Below are 24,008 nucleotides of genomic sequence, written 5' to 3'. Positions count from 1 at the left end.
GGACATTTGGCTGGTAAGGAAAAATGCTTCAAGTGAGCATGCGTATAGCCTCTAGTAAACACAATGAGCATGCTCACCTCCCAAACACTAGCAGGCCACTGCACATGCAGACAGCCCACTCCAAGGGAAGAATCCGGAGAGAAGTAATGCAAGACCATGGAAGCATGCCAATGCATGAAACCCCGAGTCAAAAAGTCAAACTGGGTGCTTGAATCTCTCAAGTCGCTCACTTGGCACTCTTCCAAGTATACTTTACTTCCTTTCATTCTTGCTCTAAAGCTTTTTAATAAACTTTCACTCCTGTTCTCAAACTTGCCTCAGTCTCTCCTTCTACCTTGTGCTCCTCTGTTGAATTCTTTCTTCTGAGGAGGCAAGAATTGAGGTTGTTGCAGACTCATATGGATTTGCTACCACTAACATATGTTGGTGCCGTGTGACTTGAATACCTTCCACTGCTAACATATCCATATGGTCTGGCTGTGTCTCCACCCAAATATCATCTTGAATTGTACTTCTCATAATCCCCACGTGTAGTGGGAGGAGTTGGTGGGAGATAATTGAATCATGGGGACAGTTTCCCCAGTTTTCCCCATCCTGTTCTCATGAAGTGAGTGAGTTCTCACAAGATCTGAGGGTTTTATAAAAGCCTTTTCACCCTTTTGCTAGGCACTTCTCCTTGCTACCACCATGTGAAGAAACACGTGTTTGCTTCCACTTCCGCCATGACTGTAAGTTTCCTGAGGCCTCCCCAGCCATGCTGAACTGTGAGTCAATTAAACCCCTTTTCTTTATAAATTACCCAGTCCTGGGTATGTCTTTATTAGCAACAAGAGAATAAACTAATACACATACCCACAGCACTGTAAGATTTATAAGTCTATTAAACACATGCCTTGTTTCCCTTAAGTTGTAAAATATGATTTCTCAAACTTCAATGCTGTTGGTATTTGAGGCTGTATACTTTTTGCTGTGAGTGGCTGTCCTGGCAATTACAAGGATGCTATGGCAGTGTCCCTGGTGTCTTTGCAGTAGATACTGGTAGAACTTTCTCCCCCTCACTGGTGAGACCAAAAACATCTCCAGACATTGCCAAATGTTTCCTGGAGAGAAGCAAAATCACCTTTTGTTAAGAGCCACTGCTGTCAACTATCAGGATGGTAAGACCTATATTTTATTTAGCACTAAATATACCCAAGACTAGAGCACAGCCTGGTTATAGTAAGTCCTCAATCAATATTTATTACACTAAATTGACTAAACTTAGCAATTAAAAAACTCTTGAAAGAGCAGAGAAGTCCCTGGACTCTCTACCATGTAAAGTTTCATATATCACTGCTGTCATTTCAAAAGATGATGATTTCTATGGAGAAGAATATTGTATAGGTCTAACTGTGGAAATGTAATGTGAAATCCTCATAAATCTTAATTATTATAATATGCAAAGGCAAAGAAAGCAACTTCCACATCTCAGAGGGAGACACAGCATTTTTTTATTCCATAACTCAAAGTTTAGGAGCAGAAGAGACTGATTATTACCCTGGAGATCCATTTCACTTCGATGAGAGTCCATTTCATTCTCTTTTTCTTTGGATAAACAACCACCAGTGTATCTTCCATTCAGATACTTTTTCTTGAATTATATGTCCAGGATGATAAAGTCTTGGGAGAGTATAAAGCCTGCCTCTTTGCAGACCAAATTGCTCTTTTAGCTGTGCAATTTTTCTTCTCTGCAGAGGTGTAGACATGAGCACCTTATCAGTGTTTGACGATTTCTATTTATTTCCTTTCCTATGCAGACATGAGGAAGAAAATGGGATCCTGAAGTCTGATCCCTGGCTGCTAGAAAGAAAAACTCTGTGTTAACTGTACAGAGAAATCATTTCAAGATGTGTGCACTAAATTGGCATGTGACAGGTTTCCATGTTTGCTTCAAATGTTATGTTTAGAATTTCATGGACAGGGAAGGCTGTATTTCAGTGCAGACTCCCAAAATGCAGAGGGTAATGATAGCAAGATTGAAGGGGGTAACCACCAACTTTACAGAGAGACTAATACAGGAGTATGCCCAGCAGCAACAACAAGACTGGCTACAGTTTTGGGTTCAATTCTACATGAAATGGAAAACCAATGGACACATTTTGCATAAGGGAAGGATGTAATCAGATGTATGCTTGACACGCATCTCCTTGGCTGCTCTGTGGGGGGTGAATTTTGCTATCCTGGCTGAAGAGTGACCAGGTGGGAAGCTGAACATGTTTGGGATTAATGTCAGATGGGAATGAAGTTGAAAATGTGAAGGAAGTGGGTTGCCTTTTGGAAGCAGAGCCAATGGAACTCGCTGAGGCATTAGTTGCACAGAGTTAGGGAAAAGATGAATCTCATATAATCCTTCCCTTGTGGGCTTCGACGACTAAGTAGTGGCATATGCACAAGTAGTAAAACTGGAAAAAAGGCAGTTCTAGGGGATGAGAATCAAGAGTTTTCTTTGGAGCATGTTAAATTTGGATGTATATAGATAATAAAATTGAGATAACAGTCAACATCTGGACTTGAAATAGAATTTTGAAGAATTTTTTAATACTAAAAAATTAAATATTAATTATATACTTTTTCATTTAATGTTTTTATTTTTAATTATTATGGTGACATAATAGCTGTACATATTTATGGAGTACATCTGATGTTTTGATACAGTCAGATAGTGTATGATGATCGAATCAGGGTAATTGGGGTGTCCATCATCTCAAGCATTTATGATTTGTGCTGGGAGCATTCCACTTCTATTTTTTAGTTATGTTTAAATATATAATAAATTGTTGTTAATTATAGTAATCCTATCATGCTAATGGCTACAGATCTTATTCATTCTATCTAACAATATTTTTGTACGTAAGAAAAATGGATATAATCGTTACAATTTCATAGAAATTGTGGTTCTCTGTGTGCATTTGTCTGTGTGTGTGTATGTGTGTGTGCATGTGTGTGGTATCATTTGTTGTTTTTTTGTAATCATATTTAGAAAGATTACACAGGTTATGGGGGTCTTTCTCAATAGGCTTCTTTTCGATTACCAGCTCCTGTTGCAGTCTCTCCTGTAAAATGGTTTAGAAGATGACACTATTCATGAATAAACCACTTCAGTATCTTGTTTAATAAAGAAAGGTTGAGCACAGCCAACATACCCATCCAGAGATAAATGAATAAGTATGTGTATGATGCACCTAAACAGAGGAATTCTATGCATCCTTTACAACAGAGAAAAGGCATACACCATTCTGTAGTAACATGGAATCCTGCTCTACAATATATAAAGTACAAAAATGTCACAGGCAGTAAGCATGCAATGATCCTGTATTAGTCCAGGTTCTCCAGAGAGACAGAACTAAGGAAGAGATGCATTTTAAGGAGTTGGCTTATATGATCGTGGGGACTGGCAAGTCTGTACAGTGTAGGGCAGCCGCGATGGCTGGGAATTCAGGCAGGAGTTGCCACCTTGAATCCAAAATCTACAAGACAAGCTGGAAACTCAGGATGAATTCTTATGTTGCACTCCTGAGGTGGAATTTCTTCTTTTTCGAGAACCTTCACCTTTTGCTCCCAATCAGAGGAAATCCAACCACATTATGAAAGGTTGCCTTTCTTTCTTAAAGTCTACTGATTGTAAATGTTAATCCCATCTACAAAAGTACCTTCACATCAACGTCTAGACTATTCGACCAAACAACTGGGCACCACAGCCCAGCCAATTGGCATATAAATTTAACCATCAGAATTCTATTTACCTTCAAAAAATTAAATGTATGTATATATAGACAGATGTATGTAAATAAAGGAAATGGCTAGAATGATACATAGCCAAACTTTTAATTGATTAAAGGAGTCATCTCTGAAATTCATTGGGAATAAGAAAAAGGAAAGTCTTCTATTTTACATTACTTTGTATTATTTAGTTCTTTTTACAGTGAGGATATAATTATAAATTACATGTGTAATAGGAAGTAATATAAAACATAGCCAAAAGGTTATACTGTAAAGGAACATGTAATTCTATGAATAAAATGAATTAAAATAAAATCTGGCAAGAGATAACAATAACTAAAAAATGAAAACTATAAAATGACCCTTTAGTATCCTTCTGAACTAAGAATAGAATGTGTTTGTTTTTTTTTTTTTAATGGTAGAATCAGTAAAATTGAGTGGAAATATGACACTCCTTGAAGTGGAAGGGTTAGAATGGAAAACTGAGGCTTCCTGATGTTGCAAATTCCACAGAGCAGAGAAGTTCCTCTGTATGTTAAAGACAATGGGATGCAAATTAATACAGGTGTGTGGGAGATGCCACAGAACAGAGTCCAGCATCAGGGAAATTCTTGGTCCCTTAATCTTTCATAAGGCTGTATTGGGGATATTGATGTTGAATTAACACAAATTATGTATATGGAAATATGACTAGTCTGATAGCTATTGGTGGTGTTTTTTTTTTTTTTTCTGTTTGTTTTGTTTTTGGGTTTTTTGTTTGTTGGTTTGTTTTCTGACACAGAGTCTCGCTCTGTTGCCAGGCCAGGCTGGAGTGCAGTGGCACAATCTCGGCTCACTGCAACCTCTGCCTCCTGGGTTCAAGTGCTTTTCCTGCCTCAGCCTCCCAAGTAGCTAGGACTACAGGCGCTCACAATCATGCCCAGCTAATTTTTGTATTCTTAGTAGAGATTTCACCATGTTGGCCAGGATGGTCTCTCTCTCCCAACTCATGATCTGCCTGCCTCGGCCTCCCAAAGTGCTGGGATTGCAGGCGTGAGCCACCACACCCAGGCTTGTTTTTTTTAAGTCATTGACAGCAGCTTCCCAGACAGACTTTTTTACTGTTTAAAGTAAGTGGACTTTAAAAAAGTAATTATTTTATTAGAAATCATTTTAATTAACTAACAAATTTATTTAGTGAATTATTTATTTTGGCAAAGAGTACATTTCAAATATTCTCTCAGCAATGGACTTCAAGATGCTTTCCTAGATCTCATTATTTAACAATCCCCCTTCCCCTCTAAAAGTACCTCCTGCAGCTCTCACGACCTGCAGCTTTGTTGTCTGTTTTTGTTGCTGTTGTTCTTTTTACTAAGATTTGCTTTTCTGAAGCTGAAAGCAGTAAGCTTGATTCCAGTTAGCTTCAATATAGCAGTTTTACGAATTACAGTTGCTAGATTTCTACAAAATGAGTGTGAGACTGTATTAGTCCGTTTTCACGCCGCTGTAAAGAACTACCTGAGACTGGGTAATTTATAAAGAAAAGAGGTATAATTGACTCACAGTTCCTCATGGCTGGGGAGGAGGCCTCAGGAAACTTATAATCATGGCAGAAGGCGAAGGGGAAGCAAGGCCCATCTTTTATGGTGGCAGGTGAGAGGGCAAGGGAGATCCAATCACCTCCCACCAGGCCTCACCTTCAGCACATGGGGACTACAATTCAAGATGTGATTTGGGTGGGGACACAGAGTCAAACCATATCAGAGACTAAGGATATTTCTCTGAAATCATGCCATTGCTATAAGAAGAAAAAGAGTAAATCATATTGTGTTCTCATGGGAAGTAAATATATATATATAATTTTCCTATGCCTAAAAAAAACACAGAAATGAAAAAATCAAATTTGATATTTTATCAGGAAATAAAAGTTGGAGACAGAATCCTTAACCTGAAGTGTCCGTGTACCCAGACATTCACACGTAAGACAGGAAAGTGGGAAAGGCCCCAAATCTGATGGTATTCATCCTCAACCCAAAGAGCTAAGGTAACACTTCAATTTTCAACAACTTAATCTGCTTTTTTTTCTTTTTTTTACATTCAGCTGCTTAAAATCTATTTTTAAATGAATTTATTAAAAATGCTAATTACCATAGTTGCCAAAAAAAAAAAAGGTGAATCAACACAACTACTAGACAAGGGAATCTGCACTGCTGAAAACTTTTCCAAAAATTATATTTATTTAAGAGATGATGTCTCATTTTGTTGACTAGGCTGGAGTACAATGGCACATTCATAGCTCCAGCCTTGACCGCCTGGGCTTAGGAAATCCTTGCACATCAGGTTCCCGAATAAATAGGACTAAAGTCATGCACCACCACACCTAGCTGATTTTTAAAATGTTTAGTTTACTGTAGAGATGGAGTCTTGCTATGTTGCTCAGACCAGTCTTGAACTTTTGGCCTCAACCTCCATCCTCCTGCCTCATCTTCCCAAAGTGCTGGCATTATAGGTGTGAGCCACTGCATCTGGCTACTGCAAACATTTTTTAGAACAATTCACAATATGTAACAAATATCTTAAAACGTTCATACTCTTTTTTTTTTTTTTTTTTTTTTTTGAGATGGAGTCTCACTCTGTCTCCCAGGCTCAAGTGCAGTGGTGCGATCTTGGCTTACAGCAACCTCTGCTTCCTGGGTTCAACTGATTCTCATGCCTCAACCTCCCGGGTAGCTGGGATTACAGGTGCCTGCCACCACACCATGCCCAGCTAATTTTTGTTTTTTTGTATTTTTAGTAGAGATGGGATTTCACCATGTTGGCCAGGCTGGTTTTGAACTCCTGACCTCAAGTGATCCTCCCACCTTGGCTTCCCAAAGCGCTAGGATTACAGGTGTGAGCCACTGCGCCCAGCTCACATTCTTAAACTCACTAATTCCACTCCTAAGAATATATTCTAAGTAATGAGTCAAAGAGGCAAATTGTGTTTATTATAGGAGGGTGTTCACAGCATTCCGAAACTTTAAAAATCACTTAAGTCCTCAATGATAAATACATTAAAAGAGGGTTTTATCATGTGACTTTCACTGAAAAGGTTTGGTACAAAACATTTAATATAATATGGTCCCAATTATGTAAATATATACATAGGTGTAGCAGCAGCAGATATATAAGAAAGAGAAAAGAAAAGAGAGACAGTGAGAGAGAGAGCAAGAGACAGAGAGCAAGGGAGAGAGAGAGAGAGATTATGAAGGATACATACATTGAAAAAAACTACAGGGAAAAATTAGCAACATTCTAACAGGAATCAGACAAACATTTTTTCATCTTTTGTCTCAATCTCCTTTTTTCTCTATTATTGATGGGTTAGTTTTGCATCAGTCTACTGAGGATAAAGAATCTTCGAAAAATTGTATGAGAACCCGTCATAGTATGTTTGGGGTGCTATACAAACTACCATAGCCTGGGTGGCTTATAAACTACAGACATTTGTTGCTCACAGTTCTGGAGGCTGGGAGTCCAAGATCAAGGCGTGGCAGATTCAGTGTCTAGTGAGGGCTTCCTGGTTCTTAGACGGTGACTTCTTGCTGTGTCCTCACATGCTGGAAGGGACGAGGGAGCTCTCTGGGGTCCCTTTTATGAGGGCACTGATCCCATTCATGAGGCTCCACCTTCATGACCTCATCACCTACCATAGTCCCCCACTCCTAACACTATCACTTTGGGGGTTAAGATGTCAACACATGAATTTCGGGGGCACAAAAACATTCAACTTATAGCAGAGCCTCTGATTAGAAACTGGGCGAAGAAAGCAGGCTCAACTAAAAATAGTCTTTAGAAGTGATTATTTTCCCTGAATTTAGATGTTGTTCAAAATAAAAACAGTGTCACTTAGAAAGGACAGTGCTTCAAAGCATAATTAATGATATGAATGTTGAAACTTGTTTGACCTCTTTAAGAAATTTTAGCATTTTCACTGTGTCATGATGCATTCTTTATTCTTAATTGTGCTCCATTGCAGAAAAATTTGAAAAGAATGAAGATTGTGACTGGGAACTTTCTTCAGGGCAATTTAATTATAAAAGATATAAACCCTCAAAGATTGTGTCACAATGAGTTAGTGTTACACAACAGGGAAATAAAATAGGTCATAACTTCAAAGAAATACATCTGAACTCCTGGTTTTTATTCAGGTGTTCAGTCTGTCTTGCATGAGAGGAGTGGTTTTGACATAAATAGATGCAGCTTCTTAGAACTAAATTTGGTTATAAATCACATAGTAGAAAACATTCTTTCATTTAAAAAGAAAGAAAGCATGCCTCCATCTTCAGGGAATCTTCATTTATTTTTACTTTATCTTTAAAGACAATATATTGTTTTGAAAGAAGGTTTTGAAGAAACAACATCCAAAAATGAGTTGAATTATTCATTTTCATGAAACATCATATTATGATTGGTTTAAAGGACTCCATAGTACTTGTCAGTAATACATAGAGTTACTGCATTTTAAAAATGTTTGGACAGAAAGAGACTGCACTATTAAGAAAGTTGGTAAAGAGCTTTCAACTCTATAATTGATATGACAGAGACTCAATGCAATGTTTTCTATGGGTTCTTTTCTATAGTAAAAGAAAGCAAAATAAACACAGTGGGTACAATTGCAGTATTGGAAATCATTTTTTATTCATTTGCTTTTTGAATTGCAACCAAACTTTCATGTAACCAATTCCTACTGAAAAGGTTAAAATCAGACATGTCCCTTTCTGAATATTACTTTTTAAAAATGTCACCATGATGTTCTGCTGTTGTTATAAGTAAACACACAAATATCTTAGGAAGCTGTTATTTCAACCTTGAGGTAGGTTATGCTATCAAGATTCACATAGAACACAAACCACGTACCAACGGATAAACTCTTACAGATTTTTTTCATAGTATGATTATATATTAGTCTGTTCTCACACTGCTATAAAGAAGTTCCTGAGATTGGGTAATTTATAAAGGGAAGAGATTTAATTGGCTCACGGTTCTGCAGGCTGCACAGGAAGCATGGCGGCTTCTGCTTTTGGGGAGGCCTCAGGAAACTAATAATCATGGTGAAAGGCAAAGGGAGAGCAGGCCCATCTTACATGACCAGAGCAGGAGGAAGAGAGAGAAGGGAAGAAGTGCCACACACTTTTAAACAACCAGATCTCATGAGAACTCACTCACTAACATAACAGTACCAAGGAAGAAATCCACCTCCATGATCCATTCACCTCCCACTAGGCCCCACCTTCAACATTAGGGATTACAATTCAACAAGCGATTTGGGAAGGGACACAAATACAAACCATATCAGATTATAATATTCTTTTACAAATAAATCAACTTGTCAAAGTTCTATAATAATCCTATTACGGTTGAATACCCCAAAGAAAATTAAATATACCGCCAAAGAAAGTTTTCTGCTTTCAGGTGTTTCATTCCACAGGTTGTTCCTTCTATGGCAAAGAACTACCTGTTCTAAATAAACCAAAGCTATTTCTCCCTTTTCTAATTATGAGCTGAGAGCTGGATATGGTTAAGCCAAAGACTAAGCTGACAGAATTTGTGTTGCAGTAATTTGAATGACTAAGTTCTCTCTAATTAATTACAAGTGGAAGTGATGTGCTTCTCTTGCTGACATGGGGATATAGAAACAGCTAGAGTTTCTCCTACCTGTGCCTTCCCTCAAAACTGAATGGGATCAACCACAAGTGGGGGTTTGGAAAAGATGTAGTTGGAATGGACAAAGCTATTAAGAGCTTGGAGTCCTGCATCACTCTGTGGAACTGAGGCACTCACCAACCCAAATTATGAAAGACAAAGAAACTTGCAGACATGGAGTCTACAAAGAGCTAGCATGGGGTACCTAAAAAACTGGAATTTCTCCTACCTGTGCCTTACCCCCAAATTAAATGGAATCAACCACAAGTGGGGCTATGTAAATATGCTGTTAAAAATGGCAAAGCTATTAGTATCCCAGGGTCCTGCATCACTCTGTGGAACCAAGACAGCCAACCACCCAGATCGTGGAAGACAAAGGAGCTAGCAGACATGGGATATATAAAGAGCTGATATGGGGTATATAAACAGCTGGAGTCCCTCCTTTATATGCTCATCCCACCTCCTAGATTGACTACAATCAAGCACAAGTGAGGTTTCAGAAAATATATAGTTGAAATGGACAAAGCCATAAATAGTCCGGGTTCCTGCATCACTCTGTGGAACCGAGCCAGCCACCAACCCAGATTATGAAAGAAAAAGGAGCTTGCCGACATGGAGTATATAAAGGTCTTATATTGGGTATGTAAACAGCTGGAGACCTCCTTTATATCCCTTCCCAACCCCTAACTTGACTGGACTCAACAACAAGTGGGGCTTTGTTAAAATGTAGTTGAAAATCACGAAGCTATTCATAGCTTGGGGCTCTGCATGACTCTGTGGAACTGAGACAGCCACCAACTCAGAAATGGAAGACAAACAAATTCTTTCTTTTAGAGCTTTTGGTTTTTAGACTTTCATATTTCAGCATCTTAACCTTTTGGCTAAATAATGCAGCCTGAGTTATTTGTTTTTCCACGTCTTTCTTTATGAAAAGTCTGCCCATTTAACCAAGCCATTCAAAAATATATAAATTTGAAGGCATTTTCATTCTTATATATTTTTAATGGGAAAATATACAATTTTATTATTTTCCAAACATTTCCCTTGTAGTATGATGTTTCCTTAAAGGTGAAGTTGTCCCCTGGAAAGGCCTGCTAGAGGCAAGTAAGGTAACATTAATGTTTTTTCATGCTTGCTAATAAATGTATGTAAAGTTTTTCTTTCAAGTTTTTTGCACTTATTTTTCAAATAAGTGTACATTTCATTAAATGGCAACCACGAAATACAGAGAAGATCGTCAAACTAAAGTCAGAGAAACTGCTTCTATTGCTATTCCTTAAGACTTTTGGCTAATTAATAAATGTCTTTGATTCATATATATGTATGTATGGAAAGGGGGTATGAATTGAAATAAAATAATGTTACAAATAATTTAAAAATCTGAAGTATATGCATAATAAATACTGAACTTATTTTTTACCAGCTTGGGGATTCAGCTACTCTAAAATAACATTAAGAATGTTTTGCTGTACTATCTTCACAAAAAGTAAAGTCAACTAAATGATGTTCTGTTCCCAACTCAGCAGTTAAATATTTGTTTAAGAAACATGGAGGAGAAACAGAAAGATGTATTGGAAAGTTATGCGTCTGAAACTAAATTATCAAGCCTCCAAGTCTTTTCCACAAACTGGTAAGTAACTTATTTTCAGTATGACAAACAGATATTTTTGTCAAATTTTTAATTATAAATAAAAAGATACATGTGAATTCCTGCCTAGTAGTTTTCTTTTAATTTTTATCATGTGAGTTTCCATTGAGAGGGGAAGTTTTCATTCCCTATGTGAACAAATTTGAAAATACAGACTTTTATTTTGCTTTTTGAATAATGGTTTCTTATCTTAAATTAGAGAACAATTAAAATTGGAACACTGTCTCTTTAATGAATAATATGATATATGGCACCAATTAAAGCTGCATAAATATTTGTTGATCAATGGTGTATATATATGACATAAACTATTTGATAATTTTAATTAATCGCACATGAGAAATAAAAAATAGTAATATTCTATAACGAAACACAATGTAGTATTCATCATGTCCTAAATATGAATTCACTGCTGGATGCTAATTGTTATAAAATATTGACAAATACAAGTTTTTCCCTTCTAAATATTTTAAGACATTCTTTCTATTTCCTCTGAATGTATTTAACCAACTACTTGCCTACTTGCTCTTTGTTTATTTTTTTGAGACAGGATGTTGCTCTGTGACCCAGGCTAGACTGCAGTGGCACAATCATGGCTCACTGCAGCCTCAACCTCCTGGGCTCAAGCAGTCCTGCTGCAGCTTCCTGAGTAGCTGGGACAACAGGTACATACCAGTGCATCAAGCTATTTTTCTTTAAATTTTTGTAGAGAGTGAGTCTTGCTGTGTTGCTCAGACTGGTCTCAAACTCCTGGGCTCAAGGGATCCTCCCACATTAGCCTCCTAAAGCAGTGGGATTACAGGTGTGACCCATCATGCCCAGCCTCCTTGTTCTATACTTAATTGAAATACCAGTGTTCTTGCATTCATAATATTATATTGCCTCCTCTATTTACAACCGCTTTGCATTTTTCTTCATTTCCTACTTATTTCACTTGTTGACTTTTAATGAATTAGATACTGAATCTCACTCTATAAAAATGTTTTTTTCTAAATATAGGCAATTATTAAACATCTCATACAGCTATCTTATAAAATTACGTATTGTAATCCTAGCACTTTGGGAGGCCAAGGCAGGTGGATCACCTGAGGTCAGGAATTTGGCCAACATGTTAAAACCCCGTCTCTACTAAAAATACACACACACACACACACAAATAGCCAGGCGTGGTGGTGGGCACCTGTAATCCCAGCTACTCAGGAGCCTGAGGCAGGAGAATTGCTTGAACCCAGAGGGCGGATGTTGCAGTGAGCTGAGATCACACCACTGTACTCCAGCCTGGGCAAAAAGAGTGAAGCTCCATCTCAAAAAATAATAATAATTACGTATTGTGCCTAAAAAATGTTATGGCGTATATATTTATACATTTTTCTACATTTTTGGCAAATGTTTTGTGGAATGGCAAAACTTGCCCTTATGAAAGTTATAATCCACAGGACTGTGGAAAGATTGTGAGGGACGAATGGAAATGATTGATCCTACAGAATGACGGTATTTGAAGGAGTAATGCAAAAGGAGGGGTGGGTGTGTGTGCACGTGTGTGTGTGTGTGTGTGTGTTATGGTTTGGCTGTGTCCCCACCCAAATCTCATCTTGAATTGTAGCTCCCATCATTCCCACTGTCACAGGAGAGACGTGGTGGGAAGTAATTGAATCACGGGCGCAGGTTTTTCCCATGCTGTTCTCATGATAGTGAATGAGTCTCATGAGATCTGATGGTTTCATAAAGGGCAGTCCCCCTGCACACGGTCTCTTTACCTGCCACCATGTAAGACTTGCCTTTGTTCCTCATTCACCTTCTGCCATGATTGTGAGGCCTCGCCAGACATGTGGAACTGTGAGTCTATTAAACCTCTTGCCTTCATAAATTACCCCGGCTCGGGTATGTCTTTATTAGCAGCATGAGAACAGATCAATACAGTGTGTGTGTGTGTGTGTGTGTGTGTGTATGTGTGTGTGTGTGTGTGTGTTTTGTTTTTCAGTACATTTACAAAGGAAATGATTCTTATATTGGATACATGTGCATAGTGCAGCATGACAATTATTTCCATTTGTCACTGAACCACTCCTGCCCTTTTTAAATGCAACAAACAGGGTAAGAACCATGTCAAAGCTATCTACTTATCCTCTAGCAGAAATCATCTACAGGCTTTCTTCTGTCTAATTCAAAGTGTAGCACAAATGAAAGACAGCTTCATTAATTATAAGATAAATGCCCAACTGCTTTCTGGGTGCAAAATTTCCTGAATAAAGCTGGGCAATAGGATTAGTACCAACTCAAAGAACGATATAATTAGGAACAGGAGTAAAGATGACTGCAAGCCAATAACATTATCTCCCTAAAAATAGTAACAGTTTTCAACCTCTATCTACAAAATTTGATTTATGTATCTCTCAAATACAAGATAATTTTGTTTACCATCTTTTGTGCTTCTATTCCATTAAAGCTTTTCATAACATTCAAAAATGCATCAGCCATGAAAAAGACATGGAGCTTGAAACATTAATAAGGTATTGAAATATGTTTCACCCTGAAGGTTTTATACCCTGTAATCAGACATCCTTCCACCTCGCACAGCATATGTTTCTGATGAACCAAGAAGTGTAAAAGGAACATAATCTGCATGAAACTAAGATATTGAAAGTTCATACTTACTTTTAAATCACTGGTTTCTCTGACACCAGAAAATAATGCTATTCCACCTAGAAATCAGATGTGTACCACTTATTTTGATTAGACTAAAGGATGTATCTGTCTATCATCTATGTATCAATTATGTATCTATCCAGATTTATATACTTATCATCTACCAATTAGCAATCTATCTCTATAGCAATATAGAGATATATAGACAAGATATAGATAGACTCTGTATTAAAGAAAGTTAAGGAACAGACCCACATGTCTGTATTACAGACTTAAAGCTTAAGAGAAATAATCTCCAACCTGGGAAATACAGCAAAACCTAAAAATAAAAACTAGGTGTTGCTATGTTGCCTAAAAATAAAACTACTTTACTAAAAATTAAAATTAAAATATTGGCTAAGAGTGGTGGCATGCACCTGTAGTCTCAACTACTCAGGAGGCTGAGGCAGGAGAATCGCTTGAGCCTGGGAAGTGAAGTCTGCAGTGAGCCATTATCACACCACTGAATGCCAGCCTGGGCAACAGAGCAAGACCCTGTCTCTAAAGAAAAACAAATCTGCTAATTGAATGTATAAATGAGAGAACTAGGTGAAGAATGATCTAGCAATAAAACCTGTAAAGCATAATTTTCCTGAAGATTTGATTTTGAAGAGATTAGGTTGATTTCAGGAAGAATTATTTTGCTCTAAAGGTGAACACATCTTCAACTAGCCACAGCAGGTTAAGGCATCTGTATCCCAGGCTATAATAATGAGGAAGCTACTAAGCCTACAACGTCAGAGAATGAAACACAAACCAACCATCTTCCTGAAATTCCAAACTAAAATTGGAGGTGAATTTAAGGAGAATTTTTGGTCTCTGATATGATTTGGCTGTGTCCCCAGTGAAATCTCAACTCAAATTGTGTCTCCCAGAATTCCCACGTGTTGTGGGAAGGAGCCAGGGGGAGGTAATTGAATTACGGGGGCTGGTCTTTCCGGTGCTATTCTCATAATAGTGAATAAGTCTCACGAGATCTGAAGGGTTTTTCAGGGGTTTCCAGTTTTGCTTCTTCCTCATTTTCCCTTGCTGCCACCATATAAGAAGTGCCTTTCACCTTCCACCATGATTCTGAGGCCTCCCCATCCATGTGGAACTGTAAGTCCAATGAAACCTCTTTTTCTTCCCAGTCTCTGGTATGTGTTTATCAGCAGCGCGAAAACGGACTAATACAGTCTCCTTCAACTCTCTGTTGCCTAAAGAATTTAAGGTATGATTGCAATACCTTTGACAAATAGATTTCTTCTGTTTGAATCGAGAATTTCCCTCATGACATGAAGAAAGAGAAAATACCTCAATTAAAAAGAAAAATATTCAAGGTTTATTTACCAGGTTCACGAAACACTTCCTATTTTTGTTTGCTTTCATCTATAAAATAAACTGGTATTAATCCATTTAATGATGAATACATCTAATAAAAAAAGAGGGTAGATGTTGCCAGTTCAAATTATACTTAATTTATGGCTCACACCTGTAATCCCAGCACTTTGAGAGGCTGAGCTGGGTGGATCACTTGAGGTCTGGAGTTTGAGACCAGCCTGGCTAACATGGTAAACCCCGTCTCTACTAAAAATACAAAAATTAGCCAGGCGTGGTGGCACACACCTGTATCCCAGCTACTCAGGAAGCTGAGGCAGGATAATTGCTTGAACTGGGAGGCAGAGGTTGCAGTGAGCAGAGATTATGCCATTGAACTCCAGCCTGGGCGACAGAGTGAGACTCTGTCTCAAAAAAATAAAAACCACGAAAAGAAAACCCCAACAAAAAACAACTTAATTTATATGAATAGGGATACATAGTATACCCATTTTTATCGGTAGATATCAAAGAAATTATCAATTTTTTATTTGTGTTATATCATTTCACTTATTTTATATCTTTGGTCATTCTCACCAAAATTTAATCATTTTAATTTACCTTTTAAAACAATAAATGAACCTTAGTTTATAAAACAAGACATTTTCTGATAAATTATTTCTCCATAAAATAAACTTTGTTACTAACATATAGTATAATATAAGAGATTCAGCTTACATATATAAGCTTCTTAATATTTTGGTCTCAATTATAACATCCCCTATACGTTAAACTGACAGATTCTTTTAATCCACCAGCAAATGTTTTCTTTGCCCACAGAAACTTAAATTGCAGGAAACTTCTTGCTCAGAATGAAGGATTAATTACTGTTGCTCCTTACAGAAAACTCTGGTCATAAATATAATGCTGTACGATTTAGCATAATGGCAGATAATTTTCTACAATGTAATTTGCATTTCTGCATTGATTTCAAGAACTGAAATTCCAAAGAGTCTTATAAATTAAATTAACAAAGTCCTCTTAAGTTAACTGTATTTCAATCAAGTATTTGGACACAGCCTCCCTATCCTACAAACGGGGTCATTTGGCAAAGGCTGAGAGTGAGAATCCAATGTTGCTGTCACGACATTCAAAAATTTTCACCCGGATGTGGTGGCTTATGCCTGTGATTCCAGCACCTTGGGAGGCCCAGGCATAAGGATCTCTTGAGCCCAGGAATTTGAGACCAGCCTGGGCAATATAGTGAGACCCTATTCCTACTAAAAATGGAAAAATTAGCCCAGTATGGTGGCATGCACCTGTAGTCCCAGTTACTCAGGAGGCTGAGGTGGGAGGATCACTTGAGCCCCAGGAAGTTGAGGCAGCAGTGAGCTATGATCATTCCACTGAACTCTAGCCTGGGTGACAGAGAGAGACTCTATCTTGAAAAAAATCAAAAACTAAAAAATTTTCATTTGACACCAGAGTAAAAGGAAAGAATAAACTCTACTACACATTATTTGATAAAAGCTGTTGGATGAGGCCAGGCACGGTGGCTCATGCCTGTAATTCCAGCACTTTGGGAGGCCGAGGTGGGTGAATCACTTGAGGCCAGAAGTTCAAGACCAGCCTGGCCAACACAACAAAATCCTCCCTCTACTAAAAATACAAAAATTATCTGGGCATGGTGGCGTGCGCTTGTAATCCCAGCTACTCAGGAGGCTGAGGCAGAGAATCGATTGAGTTTGGGAGGCAGAGGTTGCAGTGAGCCGAGATCACCCCACTGCACTCCAGCCTGGGCAACAGTGACACTCTGTCTCAAAAAGAAAGCTGTTGGATGAAATTAGGCTTGCTGTTCCCTTGGCACGGTTTTTTACTCCCTGCATTCTTTCTATTTTCATCCTTATTCCATCATTTGTTTCTGTTCTACTCTTTTATGTATAAATATCCCCAAGTCATATCTTCCCTTTACAAACAGAATCAATAGTCCTAACAACTCAAAATACAGTGACAGCAACAATAAATTTCTCAAATCCACCTGAATCACGTGCTACATTCAGTCATCCTTCACCTTTTTTTCCACAACCTGTCTTTATCCTTCACTTCTCTCGTGAATAGTACAGGTCTTCTTGTTAGGAAATAGGAATTAATGCTGTGATAGACACTGTGCTGGACCTCTGTTTCTGTTCTTCTCCTTTATGTATAAATATCCCCAAGTAATATCTTCAATTTACAAAGAGAATCAACAGTCCTAACAACTCAAAATACAAAAATACAATAACAGCAACAACAACTTTTTTTTTTTTTTTTTGAGATGGAGTCTCGCTCTTGTCACCCCAGCTGGAGTGTAGTGGCGTGATCTCGACTCACTGCAACCTCCGCCTCCTGGGCTCAAGCGATTCTCCTGCCTCAGCCTCCTGAGTAGCTGGGATTACAGGTGCCTGCCACCATGCCTGGCTAATTTTTGTACTTTTAGTAGAGACGGGGTTTTGCCATGTTGGCCAGGCTGGTCTCCAACTCCTGACCTCGTGATCCTCCTGCCTCGGCCTCCCAAAGTGCTGGGATTACAGGCGTGAGCCACTGTGCCCGGCCAACAGATTTCTTAAATCCACCTGAATCACGTGCTACATTCACTCATCCTTCACCTTTTTTTCTACAACCTGTCTTTATCCTTGATTTCTCTTGTGAATCATACATGCCTTCTTGTTAGGAATTAGAACTTCATGCTGTGATAGACACTGTGGTGGCATCAGGGATGAATGTCTGTGCTCACTTTATCTATGGGTTCAATTCACTGTAATTAACATGCCATACCCTCTATTCAGCATGTGTTTACACAAATTTTTTGTAGTTTAACCCTCTTCTTTGCTCACTTCCTATTTTTAAGAGATGGGACCTTCTCATGTTGCTGGGATAGCTCTGACTCATCTTCTGACTTTTTTTTAATTTTTTTTTTTAGAAATGGAATCTTTCTCTGTTGCCCAGGCCAGAGTGCATTGGCACCATCACAGCAAAGTGCAGCCTCAACCTCCTGGGCTTGGCTAAAGCAATCCTCCCACTTCAACCTCCTGAGTAGCTGGGACTGCAGGTGTGCACCACCACACCCAGATAATTTTTAAAATGTCTTGTATCAACAGGGTCTCACTATGTTGCCGAGGCTGGTCTTAAATTCCTTGCCTCAAGAGATCCTCCAACCTTGCCCTCCCAGGCATAAGCCACTACACAGGGATTTTCTGACTTTTTAAATGGTGTCACGTATTTTATATCCCACAGATCTTCATCTTCCGTTCTAACTCTTCTTGCTATCCCTCTGATGGCTCATTTTTTCCTCTGCGTTCAACTGTCACTCATAATAGCTGCCCTTGTGCCACTGTCGTCAAGCCAAAGCTTCCCTAGTCTCTATACATGGCTTTTCTGAAAGGTTAAACACTATCAGGTCTCACTGGATATCTGAAGGCATCTCAAACTTGAAGTCAGTGGTGATTTTATGGGCTTTCTTGAACCATCTGAGAACATAGCACTCGCGGAATGATGTAGTTAGACACCGTGGTGACAATTCCCTGGCAGAAATGATCCCTCACAAATGAGAGAATATGAATTAGACCGAATGTTGAAGGAGAATTTCATTTTCCAACATTAAATCTAGACTCTATGATCTCCCAGGGAATGAAAAAATGTCAATGTGTGTGTGTGTGCGCATGTGTGTGTGTAGGTGCTTCCTGATTTTTACCTGACATTAGGAGTATCCATAAGAACCATTAAATATCTTTGCACCGTACCAAATACTTACAGCCTCCATGAAATTAACACAGTACAAGAAATTTTGAAAATCAGTACAAATGTGCTTATGATGAGTGATATATTCAGCAGATCATCAAAAGAAGTGTTCAAATTATTTTAAATTAAAGTTTAACATCAGTATTTCCCTTTTAATTAAAGTGGAATTTGAGAACAATTTCTATGCATGGAGTGTTTAGTCCATACTATTTTAAAAGTGTAAGATTTTATTTTCCTATTTAAGAGCACAAGCCAGTAGATGAGAGAGGGATTCTCATTAAAACACAAAACACACAACACTTGAGTATTTCTCTCTGATGAACTGATTTATGATTTACGCACGGTTCTCTTGGGTTTTATATTTCACAAGGATTTTTATTTGCTTTAAATAAATATCCTTTTGTAGAAGGTTTGATCCTGAAATGTCTGAGGTAATGCAACATATTTTTGATAAAATTGAATTCAGAGAAGAAAATTACAAAAGTATGTTATATTATAATGTCCTTTAACTCTGATGGAACTGCAGCTGGCTTGATTCTTACACATCTACCTCCTGTCATCATATGATTGGCACTGAAACAGATACCACTTCTGTGCTTGGATGTTGACCTACATATCTGTGGGTCTGGTTATCAAGACATAGTACATAGACACAGGTCTAATAAGTCAGAATAGAGATGTATTTCTGGTTCTACTTGCAGGGAGCATGATTATAGGTGTTAGGCCATTCGGGCTGCTACAGCACAAAACCACAGACTGTGTGACTTATAACCAGCAGACACTGATTGATCATGGTTTATGAGGCTGAGTCCAAATCAAGGCTTGGCAGATTCGATGTCTGGTGAGGACCTGCTTTCTGGTTCATAGACAGCGCCTTCTTGCTGTGTCCTCGCATGGTGGAAGGGGCGAGGGAACTCTCTGGGGTCCCTTTATAAGGGCACTGATCCCATTCATGAGGCCCCACCCTCATGACCTAACCACCCTCCCAAATACCTCACATCCTAATTCCATCACCTTGGGATTAGATTTCAACATAGGAATTTTAGAGGAAAATAGACATTTATACCCAGGGTGTCCAATCTTTTGGCTTCCCGAACAACATTGGGAGAAGAAGCATTGTCTTGGGCCACATATAAAATACACTAACACTAAATATGGCTGATGATCTAAAAACAAATACAAAAAAATCTCATAATGCTTTAAGAAAGTTTATGAATTTGTGTTGGGCCTCATTCAAAGCCATCCTGGGCCACACACATCCCGTGGGCTGCGGGGCTGAACAAGCTTGATTTAGACCATACCATTATGTTTAACCTACATCCTCTCTCTTCTTCACTTTGCAGGAATGGGGACAAAGCTATTGAAAACTTCTCCTTCTCAGGCTCACTTCGCCAACATCTGTGGCTGAATGTAGACATTCCCCCTTTTAGGCAAATTTCTTTAAATTCATAGCAAGGTATGACCAAGAACATTAAAACAATGCTTCATTGCTTATGCCTGACGTTGAAGAGCAAAATTTACATCTGCTACACAGTTCAAGGTTTCCATGGCCTTAGTAGAGGTCATGAAATGTACAGTTTTAAAACTTATTGGAGTATCTTTATGAACGATTTTAATGGACTAGAGTGACAATATTTTTATACAACATTGACCTCCCCTGCCCCAAATGATGTGAAAGACTGTGGCTGTATTAGAATTTAGTCTAGTAAGACCAATACCATTTCAGGGAGTTTTTTGTAGTTTTCCTCCATAAATATATTTTCCACATCAACTGCTCTGAGCTGAGTTGCTGGAACATTTTCAATTCTTTATAAGTACATATTTTGGCTGAGTTCAGAAACCTTGGACTAGGCACTGTCCTTTGAGTGAGACGTCAGGATTGAGGTAGCATAGGCACAAGACCAAATTTTAGTTCATGATGGAGTATTGCCAGCTTGTGAGCCTCTGGTGCTTTCAAGGAAGCACAGGTGATGGAAATCAAATAAAAACAGAGCCAGGAAAACATCTGGTGTGGAAAGTAGCTCATTGCATAAAATGCTAAAAACAAAAAGTTGAGAAAATTAAGCCTCTTCTACTTTTTAAAAGAAAAATTTGACTCTACCAATTATAACCACAAGGAATGTTCTCCAGACTTGAATATTTTAAGTGAAAGATTAATATCCAGCCATTTATAAACCTCCAAATCCTTTCCCCAACTTTATTCATACCATTTTTTATTATAAATTTTCAAAAAATTTACTGATCTAGTTTGGAAAAATCATGTCCTTGAACTGTTGAACCATATTTGTAATCTGTTTCAATAAAAATATAGATATAATACTTAGAAAAACAGATTCTTTCTGGAATTGGAAGGTTAATGATGATTTCATCTATGTTTCTGTCTCCTAGTTCAACCATTTATCCAACATTCTACCGAATTATCCTCTTGCCTTTGTCTTCACAGCTGCAAAGACAGGGAATTCAATGCCTTGATGAAAACAAACCAGGATTCATAAGCTTTTACTGAAACATGACTAAAAATGTCAAACTATTAGAAAAAGTATATCCACATTCATTCAAGATGAAGAAAAACTCATCATAGCTTATCTTAGCCTGACTTAAATGATAGAAGTCATATTTGATTGCCATTTTAAATCATTTTACAGTTTTTAGCAAGGAGATTCCTTAAAGAACTAGAAGTAGACCTACGAATCAATCCAGCAATCCCACTCCTGGGTAACTACCCAAAGGCAAAAAGTCATCATATCAAAAAGACACATGCACATGCATGTTTATAGCAGCACAGTTCACAATTCCAAAAATGTGGAACCAACCTAAATGCCCATCAATCAAGGAGTGGATAAAGAAAATGTATGTATACACCATGGAATACTACTCAGCCATAAAGAGGAATGAAATAATGGCCTTTCCAGCAATTTGGATGGAGCTGGAGGCCATTGTTCTAAATGAAGTAACTCACGAATGAAAAACCAAATATCATATGTTCTCACTTATAAGTGGGAGCTAAGCTATGAGGACACAAAGGCATAATAATGATGCAATGGACTTTAGGAACTCAGGGGGAAGTGTGGTAGGAAGTGAGGGATAAAAGACTACTCCTTGGGTACAGTGCACACTGCTTGGGTGAGGGGAACACCAAAATCTCAGAAATCACCACTAAAGAATTTATCTATGTAACCAAAAACCACCTGTACCCCCAAAAACTATTGAAATAATAAAAAATATATTTTACAGTTTTCATATATATATATATATATATATATATATATATGTGATCAATTTATGGTTACAAAGTAAACACAGGCCCCAACAGCTTTGTGTGTGTGTGAAATTTAACTGATATATTACTGTGAAAGTATCTAACACTAAGTAGATGCCGATATGTTGAACTTTTGCTACCAGGCATGAAATAATCCATATTTGGTAAAGAATCAAGAGGTTAAAGGAACTACCAGAGGAGTCATAAGAACTCACATTTCCTGCTTTAAAATTCTATAACCTTGGAATCCATGATGCTAATTTTTGGCTCCCAAATTGGCAGGGATGTTTTTCTCCCACTCCTCCAATTTTTTCCCCTGATTATTGTTCTTCTCATAGAGATATTTATTACCACTTTAAGAAACACGTTTGTTGTTATTAGTTGTTCGCCTGCATTATTCAGTATAATCAGAACAAAATATACTTTACATTTTTAGATTCAACTGAACTGCTGCTCCACTGTGGGAACCAAGATTATTAAAAAACAAATTTGTCTATACCTCAAAACCCTGCTTTCTACCTTTTTTTTTTTAACTGTCCAATTTTAAAATTGTGGTATGCAATTAACAAAACATAGAGCATTTTTTTTTTTTTTTTTGAGACGGAGTCTTGCTCTGTCGCCCAGGCTGGAGTGCAGTGGCGCGATCTTGGCTCACTGCAAGCTCCGCCTCCCGGGTTCATGCCATTCTCCTGCCTCAGCCTCCCGGGTAGCTGGGACTACAGGCGCCCGCCACCACACCCGGCTAATTTTTTTGTGTTTTTAGTAGAGACGGGTTTCACTGTGTTAGCCAGGATGGTCTCGATCTCCTGACCTCGTGATCCACCTGCCTCGGCCTCCCAAAGTGCTGGGATTACAGGCATGAGCCACCGCGCCCAGCTCAAAACATATAGCATTTAACAAAACATATATAATTTCGAATTTTTACCATTTTAAAGCATATATTTTAGTGGCATTTGGTACACTCATCATCATAATGTGTAACCATCCTCTCCTTTTTTTTTTGGTTATGTTTTGTTTTGTTTTGTTTTGGAGGCAGGGTCTCACTCTGTCACCCAGGCTAGAATGCACTGGCATGATCATGGCTCACTGCAGCCTTGACCTCCTGGGCTCAAGCGATTATCCCCCCTTGGCCTCCCAAGTATCTGGGACTACAGGAATGAGCCACCGCCCCGGATAATTTGTAAATTTTTTTGTAGAGATGGGGTTTTACCACATTGCCCAGGCTGGTCTTGACCTCCTGGGCTCAAGTAATCCTACCACCTCAGCCTCCCACAGTGCTGGGATTACAGGTGCGAGCCACCACTCCCAGCCTAAATGGAAATCTTATACCTATGAAGCAGTGACTCCCCATTCTCCTATTGCCTAAAATACTGGCAACCACTAATCTGCATTTGGTCTCTAAAGATTTTCTTATTCTGGACACCTCATATAAATGGAATCCTATAATATGTAGCATTATGTGTCTGCTTTTTTCCACAGAGCATGATATGCTCAAGGTTTATCCATGTGGTAGCCTGTGTCAGAGCTTCATTCTTTTTCATGGTTGAACAAAATCCTATTATATGGATAGATCACATTTTGTTTATTGATTCATCAGTTGATAGGCATTTGAGTTGTTCCTCCTTTTCACTATGGTGAATAGTAATTCTATAAAAATCATGTATATGCATTGGTTTAAAAATGTGTTTGTACTTCTTGTGGGTATATACTTATGATTGACATTACTGGATCTTTCTTCTACAAAATTTTCAGATACTACATTTTAAAATTTCAACATGCCCTGCAAGAATGGCCATAATCAAAAAATCAAAAAATATGATGTTGGTGTTGATACAGTGAAAAGGGAACACTTCTACACTGCTAGTGGGAATGTAAACTAGTACAACCACTATGGAAAACAGTGTGGAGATTCCTTATAGA

General features: G+C 38.2%; 1 long non-coding RNA gene across 1 annotated transcript; it reads left to right on the top strand.

Annotated features, from left to right (window-relative positions):
* The first annotated feature begins 14,789 nt into the window (after window positions 1-14,789).
* Window positions 14,790-21,162, top strand: LOC101928201 (uncharacterized). The gene is made up of 3 exons (NR_110390.1): window positions 14,790-14,854; window positions 18,012-18,140; window positions 20,173-21,162. It is a non-coding gene; the product is annotated as an uncharacterized LOC101928201 (long non-coding RNA).
* The last annotated feature ends 2,846 nt before the right edge of the window (window positions 21,163-24,008 follow it).

This window comes from Homo sapiens, chromosome X (assembly GCF_000001405.40).
Source record: "Homo sapiens chromosome X, GRCh38.p14 Primary Assembly".
Classification (NCBI taxonomy): domain Eukaryota; kingdom Metazoa; phylum Chordata; class Mammalia; order Primates; family Hominidae; genus Homo; species Homo sapiens.
This window is presented reverse-complemented; position numbering and strand designations above follow the sequence as displayed.